General features: G+C 38.7%; 1 annotated feature.

Annotated features, from left to right (window-relative positions):
• Window positions 11,707-12,350: an enhancer, noted in NCBI's record as "OCT4-NANOG hESC enhancer chr4:182199870-182200513 (GRCh37/hg19 assembly coordinates)". NCBI's record gives its function as "activates a minimal SCP1, AML or CMV promoter by ChIP-STARR-seq in naive H9 embryonic stem cells {active_cell/tissue: H9 hESC(naive)}" and the evidence as "EXISTENCE:reporter gene assay evidence [ECO:0000049][PMID:30033119]".

Here is a 13,153-nt window from a genome sequence, read left to right as displayed (position 1 = left end):
CAGGAGTTCGAGACCAGCCTGGCCAACATGGTGAAACTCCGCCCCTACTAAAAATACAAAAATTTGCTGAGCATGGTGACATATGCCTGTAATCCCAGCTACTCGGGAGGCTGAGGCAGGAGAATTGCTTGAATCTGGGAGGTGGACGCTGCAGTGAACAGAGATTGCACCACTGCATTTCAGCCTGGGAGGCAGAGCAAGACTCTGTCACAAACAAACAAACAAAAAACCAAAAAGTGAGCAGAAAAGAGCCCTGCCTTCAGTTTGCCTACAATCTGGTTATGAGGATGACAAATCTACAAATCTACAAGGAAGAAAAAAAGATGAAGGTAAATAAAAAACACTATTACACACTGCAAAGAAATTATTACATCTCATCAAATGTATATAATTGTATGACTTATGATGAAGGATACATATTTTATGTGCCATTATGAAAGAAAAAAATACCCATACAATTTAACAGCCTACTCTAATGTTAGTGTTACAAATGCTGAATGGGTCCTAGCAGCTTCTTGTTGCTTTGAAATTTCTTTCATTCATTCTCAGGGATTTGGCCATGCCCCTGGCATAAGCTGCACAGCCTGGCATATGATAGGAATCCTTTTGCAAACACCTCCATAATAAAACAACCCGGCATCGTCTACTTCTGGGTACTTTGCTTTCTTGGGTCCTATAAAGCACTTGACTGTTACTTTGAATACTTGCTCCACTATTATAAAATTCATGGCCCTCTGCTCTGCTTCTGTGTTTTCTGCTTACACAATAACTAGTGTTTCGGTAGTGAGGCACTGTGTCATCTTTTCAAGGCATTTTAAATGGTGATTAACCTTAACTTGTTTAGTGCTAACTAGGTGCATAACTCAACTGAAGAAATGAAAAGAATAGCAGTGATGACCATGCGAGCACACACATTGGCAGAGACCACGACCTTGCCACAGCTGCCTGGTGGGCAGTAATTCTAAGAAATGATCAATTGTAAGGTGCATCTGGATTTCAGAGACATTAAAAGGTGAAAAAAATCACACCTCTAAAATCAATTTAAAATGGTTATTAAAGCGTAATAAGGACTTTTGAATGGGATGATACAGGCAGCATCAGAAAGGGGTTAATTCTGAGTTCATCAGGAATGGTTATTGGCAATGGGTACAGAAGAGAGGAGAGAAGAACTGCAAGAGCAAAGGTGCAGTGGAGAGAAAGCACCAGCCCACGGGCATGAGAAAGAATGACGTTTAAAACATTCCTGTATATTAGTATCTAGATACTCTATCATATTCTGTAGATTTAACGCTTTCTACCACCTATATAATAAAGTGCAGAACCTTCAGAACAGAATCCAAGACCTTCTGTAAGTCGGCCTCAATCAGCCTCTTCTATTTTCTCTCACCCTCTGCGAGTACTTCACGCTTCGCTATCACGTTCCCACCTTCAGGCACTGCCTAGAGTTCCGAATACAGGTCCTTGTATTTTAATACACCAACCTCTTTCAATGCACAGTTATGGCAGGAATGGGCATTTCATGAACAGTAATCCTTTCCGTAAGACAACTACACGAAAATCACCCTGTGGTTTATGCTTGCCAGAGCCATTTGCAAAGGCAGGTGCTGTTGAGCTGTTTGTGACTGCCCGCTGGATTCGTGGTCAGCCCTAAGAAGAGCCGCCCTATCACTGATTGTTTCATGCAAAATGAAGGAGCAGAGCCGTTAAAGGCAAACAGTGTGACACAGGTGTTGAATTACTTTTCTCAGTGTGCTATATTCCGTGCCTTTCCACTACTGAGAAAGACAACTAGGTGCTTAGCTTGAGTGTGCACTGTGCATGTTTATGTGCTATTATTCATGAGGTTAAACACAATCTCAGCCAAGTCATGGTTTGTCTCCCTTTAGTGAAGCATTTCTTTGAAAAATTTCAGGTACTATAATTGCATTTTAAAGATACATAATAAATTGCTATTAGGCTCTGGTTAGGAGGTTTGCTGAGGTGTGAACTGACCATTTTGTTCCTTTCTCTTTTATCAATAGTTGCTTTAAACCCCACAGTCTTCAGAAGACAAAAAGATGCACTGGAATATCAAAGGCTGTAGGTTTATTACTATACATTATGAATAATTTAAGGCAGTAACAAAATAACACACTGATAAAAGCCAACAAGTAATATTCTATTCATAGCTGACTGGATAATCAAAGCCATTGTAGGTGCTTTTTCTAATCCTAATTTAGAATTTGCATTATGGCTTTTTGCTTTCCCAAACGATAACCTCCTATTTGAAGAGGTATACTGCACACCCCTTAGAGTCCTTTACAATTGGGTTCAAAAGGACACTTCCACTACATACAACAGAAAGAAAATGATTCATGAATAAAGAGCAACTTTGTCTTAACTATTTCACCTTTTCCTTATTCTGTTGGTCTCATACTTGAAATTCTACTGTGGAACTGTCAAATTCCACAAAGATCATAGTGACCTTAGAAAAAACGATATATAATATCATAGGGTCATAAAAGATTAATAATTGGGTCATTTAGATTTGGCAATCTTCAATATATCATGTATTTATCATAAAACAAATTGGCCAAACTTTGTAGAATTAAAACTGTCTTTGATAGTAGATTCCCCTGATGAATGGATTAAATACAAGTTTTTTATCTTTCTCGATGAAGTTTGCCTGCTAGAAAAATTAACAGCTTTCTCAATTGCTCTTCGATGGCTTTGTCTTGAGAGCCAGAGAAACCCAATGTTTACCACCTTTGGCATCAAACTACAATTCTACTGGAGAAAACTCGGCCAAGCCCCTTTGTGACCTTTGAATCTCTGATTTTCATTTTTCTTTTGACACATGAGAATCATTGCTGTCTGTAGTAGAGAAAAGGGGAAAATCTCAAGGTCACGCTCTGTTTCTGGAGTGATTTTGTTCCTTAGAAAGACACGTTCCATTTTTGCTTAAATAACATTTAGTGCATTAATCATACGGGACTGATTCAGGCATTAGAAAAAAAGACAACCCATATTCTTTTTCCCAGCCCAGAGCACGTGCTTGATCAAGAATAGAATCACTGAGTTTGAATCAGCAATCACACAAAACAAGGGGAAGAAAGGCTAAGAGAAGTTTTCTGAAAGAAACCTCTTGGGACTACTTTGCAGTTAGAGGAAGAATGGAGATTACAGAGACAGGGTTTCTCCTAAGAGGGAGGGCTTGAGTGCAAATTGCTCCTACCCTATCTCTGCAGGTTCTGCAAGCCTCACCTTCAGTTGGGAAATTACTAGCACCTTTTAGTACAGCCCAGGCCTTTTTATCTGATTACCATACATTCTTATCTGAGGCTTTAAATCTGTATGTCAGTCAGTGACAGCATCATAGAACTCTGCCATTTTTTTTAAGTAATCAAAGCAGAGAATCTCTGAAATCAGGTGATAAAATATACAAGAAATAAGATTGATTTCATTCTGTTTCTCTCAGAGCAGCTGAATCATAAAAGACTGCACAAAAGAAAACCTAAACCTTTTCTAAAATGGCTTGGGTTGGGAGGTATGCATTTTCATTTAAATGCAGACATTGGCTCAAAAATATTTGAAGATGGTTAATAGAAAATGGATTTGCCTACGGTAGAATGTATTTGGGTGCTATTCAATATGTTATTCACCAGACCAGCAATGAAGTAATTACAATTGCTTTTTCCCATTTTCATTTTTTCTTAAGAAAAGCTTCAAGTTAAATTTTATACTTAAATATAGATATTTCAACTCTGGATCAGTTTTCTCTGACAATGAAAGCAGAAGCTTATTTGTAAACCATCAAATATTGTGTCAAATGACAAAAGAGGATAAAATATTTTTATCTCTATTTAACTTGTTGCAGTAAGGAATTGCCAATAGTTTATTATTCAAAAAGTACTTAGGGGACTTGCGTTAATGCAAGATCCCAGAGGATGAAACAAAAATGAAGAGGACCATATCCTTCAAGTCTAGGAATTTATGATCTAATAAGGCTCTTAATGTCTTTGTGCTTCTCTCTATTTTATTTTCTATTAAAAAAACAGCAAAATTCACATTCAGTAAGTTACGTATGGCCGGGTGCGGTGGCTCACGCCTGTAATCCCAGCACTGTAATCCCCGCCCAGGCTGAGGTGGGCGGATCACGAGGTCAGAAGATCGAGACCATCCTGGCTAACACGGTGAAACCCCATCTCTACTAAAAATACAAAAAAATTAGCCGGGCGTGGTGGCGGGCGCCTGTAGTCCCAGCTACTCGGGAGGCTGAGGCAGGAGAATGGCGTGAACCCGGGAGGCGGAGCTTGCAGTGAGCCGAGATCGCGCCACTGCACTCCCACCTGGGCCACAGAGTGAGACTCCATCTTAAAAAAAAAAAAAAAAGTTACATCTAACTAGAAGTGTTATCTGCTGCACTATGGGAACAAAAGAGAAGTGATATTAATTTAATACCTATTGCATGCCATTCACTATGCCAGGTACTTGACAAGCATAATCTCATTTAAAATGTAATTCATTTTAAAAAGCATCAAATTTACAGAAAAACTAAAAAAAAAAAAAGTATAAGTACACGGAGAAACCCCATTCAACTTTGACTCATTTCCTCTGTCATGCCCTTTGCCGCAAAAAGGCTCAACCTGGGATCACATATTGTACCCACCGATGTCTGCTTAATCCCCTTCCATCTGGAACAGCTCCTCAGCTTTTCCTCCACTTTTACAACTCCGACATTTTTCAAAGTTACAGGCCAGACACTTTGTAGAATGTTCATCACTTTGATTTTGACTAATATTTTCCCATGATTAGATTCAAAGTATGCACTTTGGGCTGAAACAACACGGAAACAGTGCTGTGTACTTCCCACCGCATCCTACTGCTGGAACAACCATGTCAATTTGCCCCACCACTGGCTATCTCCTTCAAGTAAACTTTATTTTTTGATTACAGTAGGAATGTATCTTCCTTACTAAAATTCAAATGTTGAAAATATTTCTGCCTGGGCACGGTGGCTCACGCCTGTAATTCCAGCACTTTGGGAAGCCGAGGCTGGTGGATCACTTGAAGCCAGGAGTTTGAGACCAACCTGGGCAACATGGTGAAACTGCGTCTCTACTAAAAATACAAAAATTACAGGGTGTGGTGGTGGGCACTTGTAATCTGTAATCCTAGCTGCTTGAGAGGCTGAGGCATGAGAATTGCTTGAACTGGGGAGGAGGCAGAGGTTGCAATTAGCTGAGATTGTGCCACTGCACTCCAGCCTGGACAACAGAGCAAAACTCCATCTCAAAAAAATATAAAAAAAGAAAGAAAATATTTCTAACATGCCAGAGAAAAACTAATTATGGCTTTTCTGCCCCATAATTGCTCTAATACTGTTTCTGTTGCCTACTACTGTTTTCTGTTTGCATAACTTAATATACATTGATCTCGCTGTTATGTATCACATTATCTCTTTTAATTCCCACAAACAATCACATAAAGACCTTTTTTAAAAGCCCATATTGGCTAAAAAGGACATTTGCCTAAGGTCATACACATAGGAACTAGGATGGGAAAAGAGATCTTTTTGAAATCAAGTTCTGTGTTTTATTACGCGTTAGTTATAAAGTACACTCGTATATAAAGGCTGTATAAGAGAGATATTTAAAGCCAATATCTGTAATATCTGTGAATGAAAAAAATGTTTTAAAATAAAATTGTATAGGGGATGTTAACTATGAAAATAACATCATCCAGCTTTGGTGAGGAAATCATTTCCTTCTTATCCTTACAGTAGCAATCACAGTATTTTGTATTTGTTATTTTTTTACTTTAAAAATAAATACATTTAATGTATATAGATCTACATACATTTTGTAATGTGTGCACATCTTTCTGTTTTAGGAATGTGATTCTGCATCATCACATTCTTTTTAACTTTTAATTTTTATGGGTACATAGTAGCTGTATATATTTACGGGGTACATATTTTGCTACAGGCATACAATGTATAATATTCACATCTGGGTAAATGGGGTATCTGTCGCCTCAAGCATTTATCCTTTCTTTGTGTCACAAACATTCCAATTATACCATTTTGTTATTTTAAAATGTACGATACATTATTGTTGACTGTAGTCGCCCTGTTGTGCTATCAAATACTAGATCTTATTCATTCTAAGTATATTTCTGTACCCACTTCCCCCAACTACTTTTTAAATATATGACTGTTCACTGATCCCTCTGGATGGCTTTCCATTTATATTTTCACTGTCACTTTTTCTATCTTATTAGTTGCCGTATAATTAAAATATTATAACCAGTGTATTCTGTTGAATATAGTACTGAGGTAGAAACCAAAGGAACTGCATTCCATTTCTAGTTCTGTCACTTTCTAGCTCTGAATGCTGAGGTCGCTTTTTTTTTTTTTTTTTTACCTCCTCTGTCCCTCAGTTTTCCATAAAATTAAGATAATAACTCTCCTAGCTTTGCCACATATTATGAAATTTAACACAATGAAGAAATCAATATGTGAACACATCTTCTTTCTCCTCTTCCTCCTCAACCTACATCTCATTGCCCCATGAAAAATTGTGCCTTGCCACGTAGGGCCTAGGGACTGTCACTCGCCATGATGGGAAGGTAACCCAGCTTCCTCTCTGAAGGCTATAGGGATCCATATGAGCTGTCCCAGAACCTGCAAACCAAAATGTTTTACTCCCTGTCTCTCTTTCTTATAAAATGACTCCTGTGTGCCCTAAGGACCCAGGACTCAGAAATATCTAGGCATAGAATGGAGATGGGGGTGCTGGATGGTGTGAAGAAGAAAGCAGCTTTGCTTCCTGCCAGAAGTGTTTGCACTCGTGAAATGTAAGTTTAATATAATTTCTCAATAGGCGACTTTGCTTAGTTAAACTTACACATATGAATTTCTTCCTCCTCATCTGCCCACCCATCTCTATTACCCCCTCTCTATCCACCTCTTCCCACCATGCTCTTTCTCCTGGAATGAGTTTCAGGTTCTGGAAACGCTCTGCTGCCATTTTTCCACCAATACCTGTACTTCCTTTAGCAGGAGGTGGAAATGAGCTATAACTTGTCTCTGGGTAACTTAAAGGTGTAGGAAGTTTACACTCGGGTTCACTGAGAGATGTTGGTTGTTTTTCTGAGTGTGCATTCTTGGGAAAGGAGGATGGTGAGAGGATGAGAGCCCTGTGTGTTTGAAAGGCTTTGGGAGGAGTGGAGGTTATGAGGGTTGGGAAGGAGTGGAGCAGATCGAACACCTATGAATAGACAAGCAGTTCTTATAGGGGTGGCCTTGATTTTGACGGATCTATCAGTCTGTCACTATCTAGACCAGTAGTGAAGCATGAGGAAATTATTCTCTCTCTCTATCTTCTTTCATTTATTGAAACATACATCATTCATCAAATACCAAGCATTGTAGTTGGAGACACATTGGCAGGAGCTGAGAATGAGAATACAGAGATGAGTTAGTCCCTGCTGTTGAGAAACATGAAGTATAGCAGGGGAGACAGATTATATATTAATAGTAGAACAAATTTTCTTTTTCTTTTGGCTTCTTCTCTTCCACCTGGCCAAAATTAAGTCATAAAATTAATATTTATTCTGAAAATAGAGCATCTCAAAATTTGTGATCCTAGATCTCGAACAATCTTAAATGCATCTATGGACCACTGGGAACAAGTTTCACTCCAGTACATTCATTCTACTAATCTTTGCTGACATCTTACACAATTAACTCAACCAACAAAATTCAAAACTGTTCTTCATAAAGAAAGTGAAGAAAGGCCGGGTGCAGTGGCTCACGCCTGTAATCCCAGCACTTTGGGAGGTCATGGAGGTGGATCACTTGAGGTCAGGAGTTCAAGACCAGCCTGGCCAACATGGCAAAACCCCATCTCTACTAAAAATACAAAAATTAGCCAGGTGTGGTGGCCCATGCCTGTAATCCCAGCTACTCAGGAGGCTGAGGCAGGAGAATCACTTGAGCCCAGGAGGCAGAGGTTGCAGTGAGCCGAGACTGCACCACTGCACTCCAGCCTGGGCAACAGAGTGAGACTCCATCTAAAAACAAACAAAAAAAGCAAGGAAAGTGTACAAAAGTTATTAATTTTTAAATGAGTTAAATTTCAATTTATCTCAGTGAAATTTAAATTAATAAAATAACTGTAGCATTTAAAAATAATGCAAAATATTCCTACACTTGGGGAACACCACTGTATAAGATTTACCATCCTCATTACCTCAAAAAAGAAAAAAAGTCTTGCTATCTGACACAATATATTATAAAGAAAGTCAGATATTTTGTTTTGTTTCCACTCAGAAGATTACTTTAATGCTCATTTCCCTTGTTTAGGTCATCATAGAATAACAGATATTTCTGCTTAACATAAAATATAAATTTTCTTCTTGTTGCATTTACTACCTTCTGTAATAGAAGAAAAATATTACAGAGATTCTTAGTTGAAATCAATTAATGTTCATTATCAATTTTTGCCGGGCTTCAGTCCATGGCTGTTAGCGACGCTTTCATTAGGGAAATGCTGCTTATTTGAAGTAGCTTAGTATAATCAGTAGTTAGATCAGTGGCATCGGGTGTCAGAAGACCAAGATTTCAATCCTAGTTCTTCCTCTCTGGAGTTGTGTAACTTCGGACAAATCCTGTCTTTCCTATTTTTTTTTTTTTTTTTTTTTTTTTGAGATGGAGTCTCGCTCTGTCGCCCAGGCTGGAGTGCAGTGGCACAATCTCGGTTTACTGCAAGCTCTGCCTCCCGGGTTCTCGCCATTCTCCTGCCTCAGCCTCCCGAGTAGCTGGGACTACAGGCGCCCGCCACCACGCCCGGCTAATTTTTTTGTATTTTCAGTAGAGACGGGGTTTCACCGTGTTAGCCAGGATGGTCTCGATCTCCTGACCTCGTGATCCGCCCGCCTCGGCCTCCCAAAGTGCTGGGATTACAGGCGTGAGCCACCGCAGCCAGCATGTCCTCTTAGTACTATTGTGAGATTGAACTACTGGTGTATGTAAATAAATTTGTTGACCGCAGGATAGAATTGGAGTAAATTAATAAACTTTAAGTATTATTAGAGGTAGATTTCTTAATGTACGTTTGGAGGATCCACAAAGAATCTTAGATCGTTGAAGCACCATTCTTAGTAAAAAGGAATCCATTTAGGATTTAGTTCAATAATTTTATAATTAAAAAATATGGCCTTAGTCTCAAAGTCTATGTAGAAAACAAAAGTAGCACGTACTAAGAAAAAGTCCCTATCCATCTAGGCTCCGTCTCATTCAGATCACGGCCTTGTTAACTGGCTCTGTGAGTAGAATGAAACGTGTGTTTTGGTCTTGGCCTTGATTTCAAGTGTCTGCTTCAAATCTGGGGTAATTTCCAGACAATGTTTTTTTTCGCTTCTCTGAATAAAGAGGCCTTTCATCATAGCACGACTGTGAGTCCTGCTTGAGAATGGCGCTCCCATGGTAGTTCTGGACGGGAGCATGCTGCGATGTCTGAATGTTCTGTTTTCTCATTCTGGGGAATCCTTGAAGGTTTCCTGAGGTGTGCTCTGCCTGCCTTTTACAAATCTTTGACCAATGAGCATCTCACTAATGTGTGCTCACTGGCAGAAAACAGATTCTAATTCATGAGGGGGCACTGGAGATGGCAAATTAAAATTGGAAATTGGCAAATCCTTGTCACGCGACATTTAGGGACAAAGCAGAGGTCATAAATTAGAGGTTTATGGCCAAATCTAGCCTGTAGAAGTTTTCTGTTTGAATCACATTGTGTTTTAAGATATTCTTAACTAGTCGCTCACATGTTAAAATTAAGAAAGTTTATATAAAAAGCTGGGTTTCTGGCTTCTCTCGAAAAATTAAAGGTGACCAAATCGGTCCTATGTCCCTGTGGCTGCGGAGCTGAGCAGAGGCCCTATTGTATAGTGGCTAAGAACATGGACCTGGGTTTCCTTCCTGCTTCCACCCCTTCTGAGCTGTGTTTCTTAGGCAAGTTACTTAACACCCCCATGCCTAAAATGGGAATGATAGTTGTACCTTTTCATTCAGGCTGCTGTGGAGATTGGCTGAGTTAATGTCTGTAAACTACACAGGAGTGCCTGGCCCATAGTAATTAGTATAAATACGTGTACTAGCAATTCTCATTGGATGCTTTAGTTGGGCCATGTGCTTTATTTCTTTTTTGTTTTATTTTATTTATTTTTTCGGGACAGAGTTTCACTCTTGCCGCCCAGGCTGGAGTGCAATGGCGCGATCTCTGCTCACAGCAACCTCCGCCTCCCAGATTGAAGCGATTCTCCTGCCTCAGCCTCCCGGGTAGCTGGGATTACAGGTGCCTGCCACCATGCCCAGCTAATTTTGTATTTTTAGTAGAGACGGGGTTTCTCCACGTTGGTCAGGCTGGTCTCGAACTCCCGACCTCAGGTGATCCACCCGCCTCCGCCTCCCAAAGAGCCGAGATTACAGGCGTGAGCCACCGCGCCCGGCTGGCCATGTGCTTTCTAGTTTGCCTCATTTCATCAATTATTTTAAAACTTGCCTAATTTTTGTAAATGTTTGGAATTTTATTCTTTGGATCATCACCACTTTCTCCCCCAAATAAAATGGTAGACAGAGACTACCTAGATTCCACAGGCTGTAATACACAAATGACTCAAATTTTTTTTTTAATTATGAGAAAAAGCCAACATCATACAAATAGTTAAAATTTCTATATTACCATTTGGAGAGCCAGATTCACATTTTATAATTAATTTACCTGCCAAAGACAGCCAGATTAAAAAATATGAGACTCACATTTCACCATAAATAAAAATAGATGACAAGTGACAAGTCAAGCCTTTGTTTACCATTTTTCTATTTTTATGTTTTGTTGTGAAACTGGGAGTAGAATGCAGATATTTGTCATTTTTAAAAAGTTGGACGTGCACGTAGCTGAAAAGGATGTAAAATTGATTTTCTGATAAGAGTTCAATTGCTCAAATTAAAAAAAAAAATTACAAGTGATTAGGATAAACAACCATAATACATTTTCCAACGTTTTGGTTCCTCTTTCTCACCAGAAACAGGGGGTTAGATAGAGCACTGGAGGAGGAGTCAGGAGCCCTGGGTGTGAGTTCTGGAACTGATAGTAACTACCTGAGCAAACCCCTTAATCTTTCTGGGACCCCACTGATTCATCTATAAAATAAAGATGTGTGTATCCTGTTTATGACAGACAGGAGTAGAGTGAGCATCAATGAAATTTATTATGGATACCTATGACTAATTTTAATGAACTTCATAAGTCTAGTCGTTTTGGTATTTTGTACATATAATCCAATAAAACAAAACAATATAATTAATCATGTAAGGAGTTTAAAATTTTTCAGTTTTTAATGTTTCTTCAAGTTTACTGACATCTTCGTAAATACCCAGCATATCAAGTTAAGTATATTGCAGCTTATTAAAAAACAATGTGCTAAATGAAGTAGAAAGAATGCTCATAAGCCTCTCTTTCCAGCAGCCAGGACTATATTTTGTACCTAATAACATACAAAATTAATAGAAATTGATGCTGGAGTTCAATGCACTCCTCAAACTAGTCCGTAAAAAGCCGTGCTTTCTTGTGGTGAGATGCCAAAAAAAAAAAAAAATTCATCCCATTCATTATTCTGGACAGATCAGAAACCTCTCTTGGGAAGCCTATAAAAATCTACTGCAAAGAATAAAGCTATAATATACTGTCAGCAACAATTTGCCTTGGCAGGGGATGGACAAATGATCTAACAGTCCCTTTTATTTCTAATTTCTATGATTCTGTATTTTTTCAAGCCTTATATAGTTCTCTTAACCCAATTCTGTTGTATACTGAGCCAGAATCTCCCAGTGTTTGAATGGCTCTCCGGGGTTATCAGGTACTTTGGGAACACAAGTTAACACCTTGTTCAGCAGGTTAACTCTTTTATGACTCATGTGTTCTGAATGAAGCCTCTGTATTTACATGCAAAGTATGATCATTCTTATGCGTTGATATAGACAGTGTTTTTCTGCATGGTCAAAATCAGCAAAGATTTAGAACGAAAGCTCAGCTGCCTTCATTATTTGTAGCTCTTAATGGTTGTGAATCTCAGGCACTCTGTTTTGTCCTGAAGCCAGCTACAGCCCTATCTTCCTATTATGCAGATATTGCTTCAAAACTCTTCAGATTCTTTAGTGTCTACAGGATAAAGCCTAAATTTATTAACATGATTATTCTCACCCCAATGCTTACATATGTTGGAAGAAATTATATTTTGCGCATCTCCTTGCTGCAGGCACCATTCTCTAGGCTGAGGATATGGCAGTAAACTTGACTGGCATCCCTACCTCCTGTGGCTTGCCTCTAACAGGGAATCAAACAATCAATATTGCAAATTATAAAATGTAGAATAGACAATAATGAGTGCTAAATAGAAAAATAAATTAAAGAGGGCAGGAAATGTACTGAATAAAGTCTTATGCATTTTGTATCTTGAATGTCAGGTAATGCTTAATAGATATTGGCTAATTAAATGATACAGTATAACCTATACCCCTTATGTCTTTAAGGCCCACATACATCTGAATGTAATTTGTGTGTTTAGGAAAGGTGAAGTTAGAGGCTTATTCTTGGGCGTTTGATTCCTAGAAAATGCACAAAATATAAGTTGTCTAAGGACAGAGAGATTGACTGTTTTCTTCACAATAGAATTCCAAGTGCATGGAACTAGGTCACAGCAGAGGCTCAATATATATTTTTTTAATGAATCAGTGAAACATTTGGGCAGATGCAAATCCAGGTGTGTGGTCAGAAGAAGAGAGTGCGCGTCCCATCAGCAATTACGTGCTGAGCCACTACTTCACAGAATCAGAAAGTTTGAAAGAATGTATATTATTTTGTCCTTTGCACCTGATAAGGTAGGAAATTCTTTTATTCCATGGAGAAATTGGAACAACCACTACTATAAAAATGCAGCATGTATGTAATGTGTGCTTCCTTGCAGAAATGTTAGAAAACAATTGACTTCTCAGCTTAAATTAAGAAACAAAAATAAACAAACAAAAAAAACTCATAGGCTCTTGTTGACAATTAAAACAGCATCCCTCTACCTAATTACTTGGAATGCAAAAGTCCCGGTGGAAGGGACA

The sequence above is a fragment of the Homo sapiens genome, chromosome 4, assembly GCF_000001405.40.
Source record: "Homo sapiens chromosome 4, GRCh38.p14 Primary Assembly".
NCBI classification, from domain to species: domain Eukaryota; kingdom Metazoa; phylum Chordata; class Mammalia; order Primates; family Hominidae; genus Homo; species Homo sapiens.
This window is presented reverse-complemented; position numbering and strand designations above follow the sequence as displayed.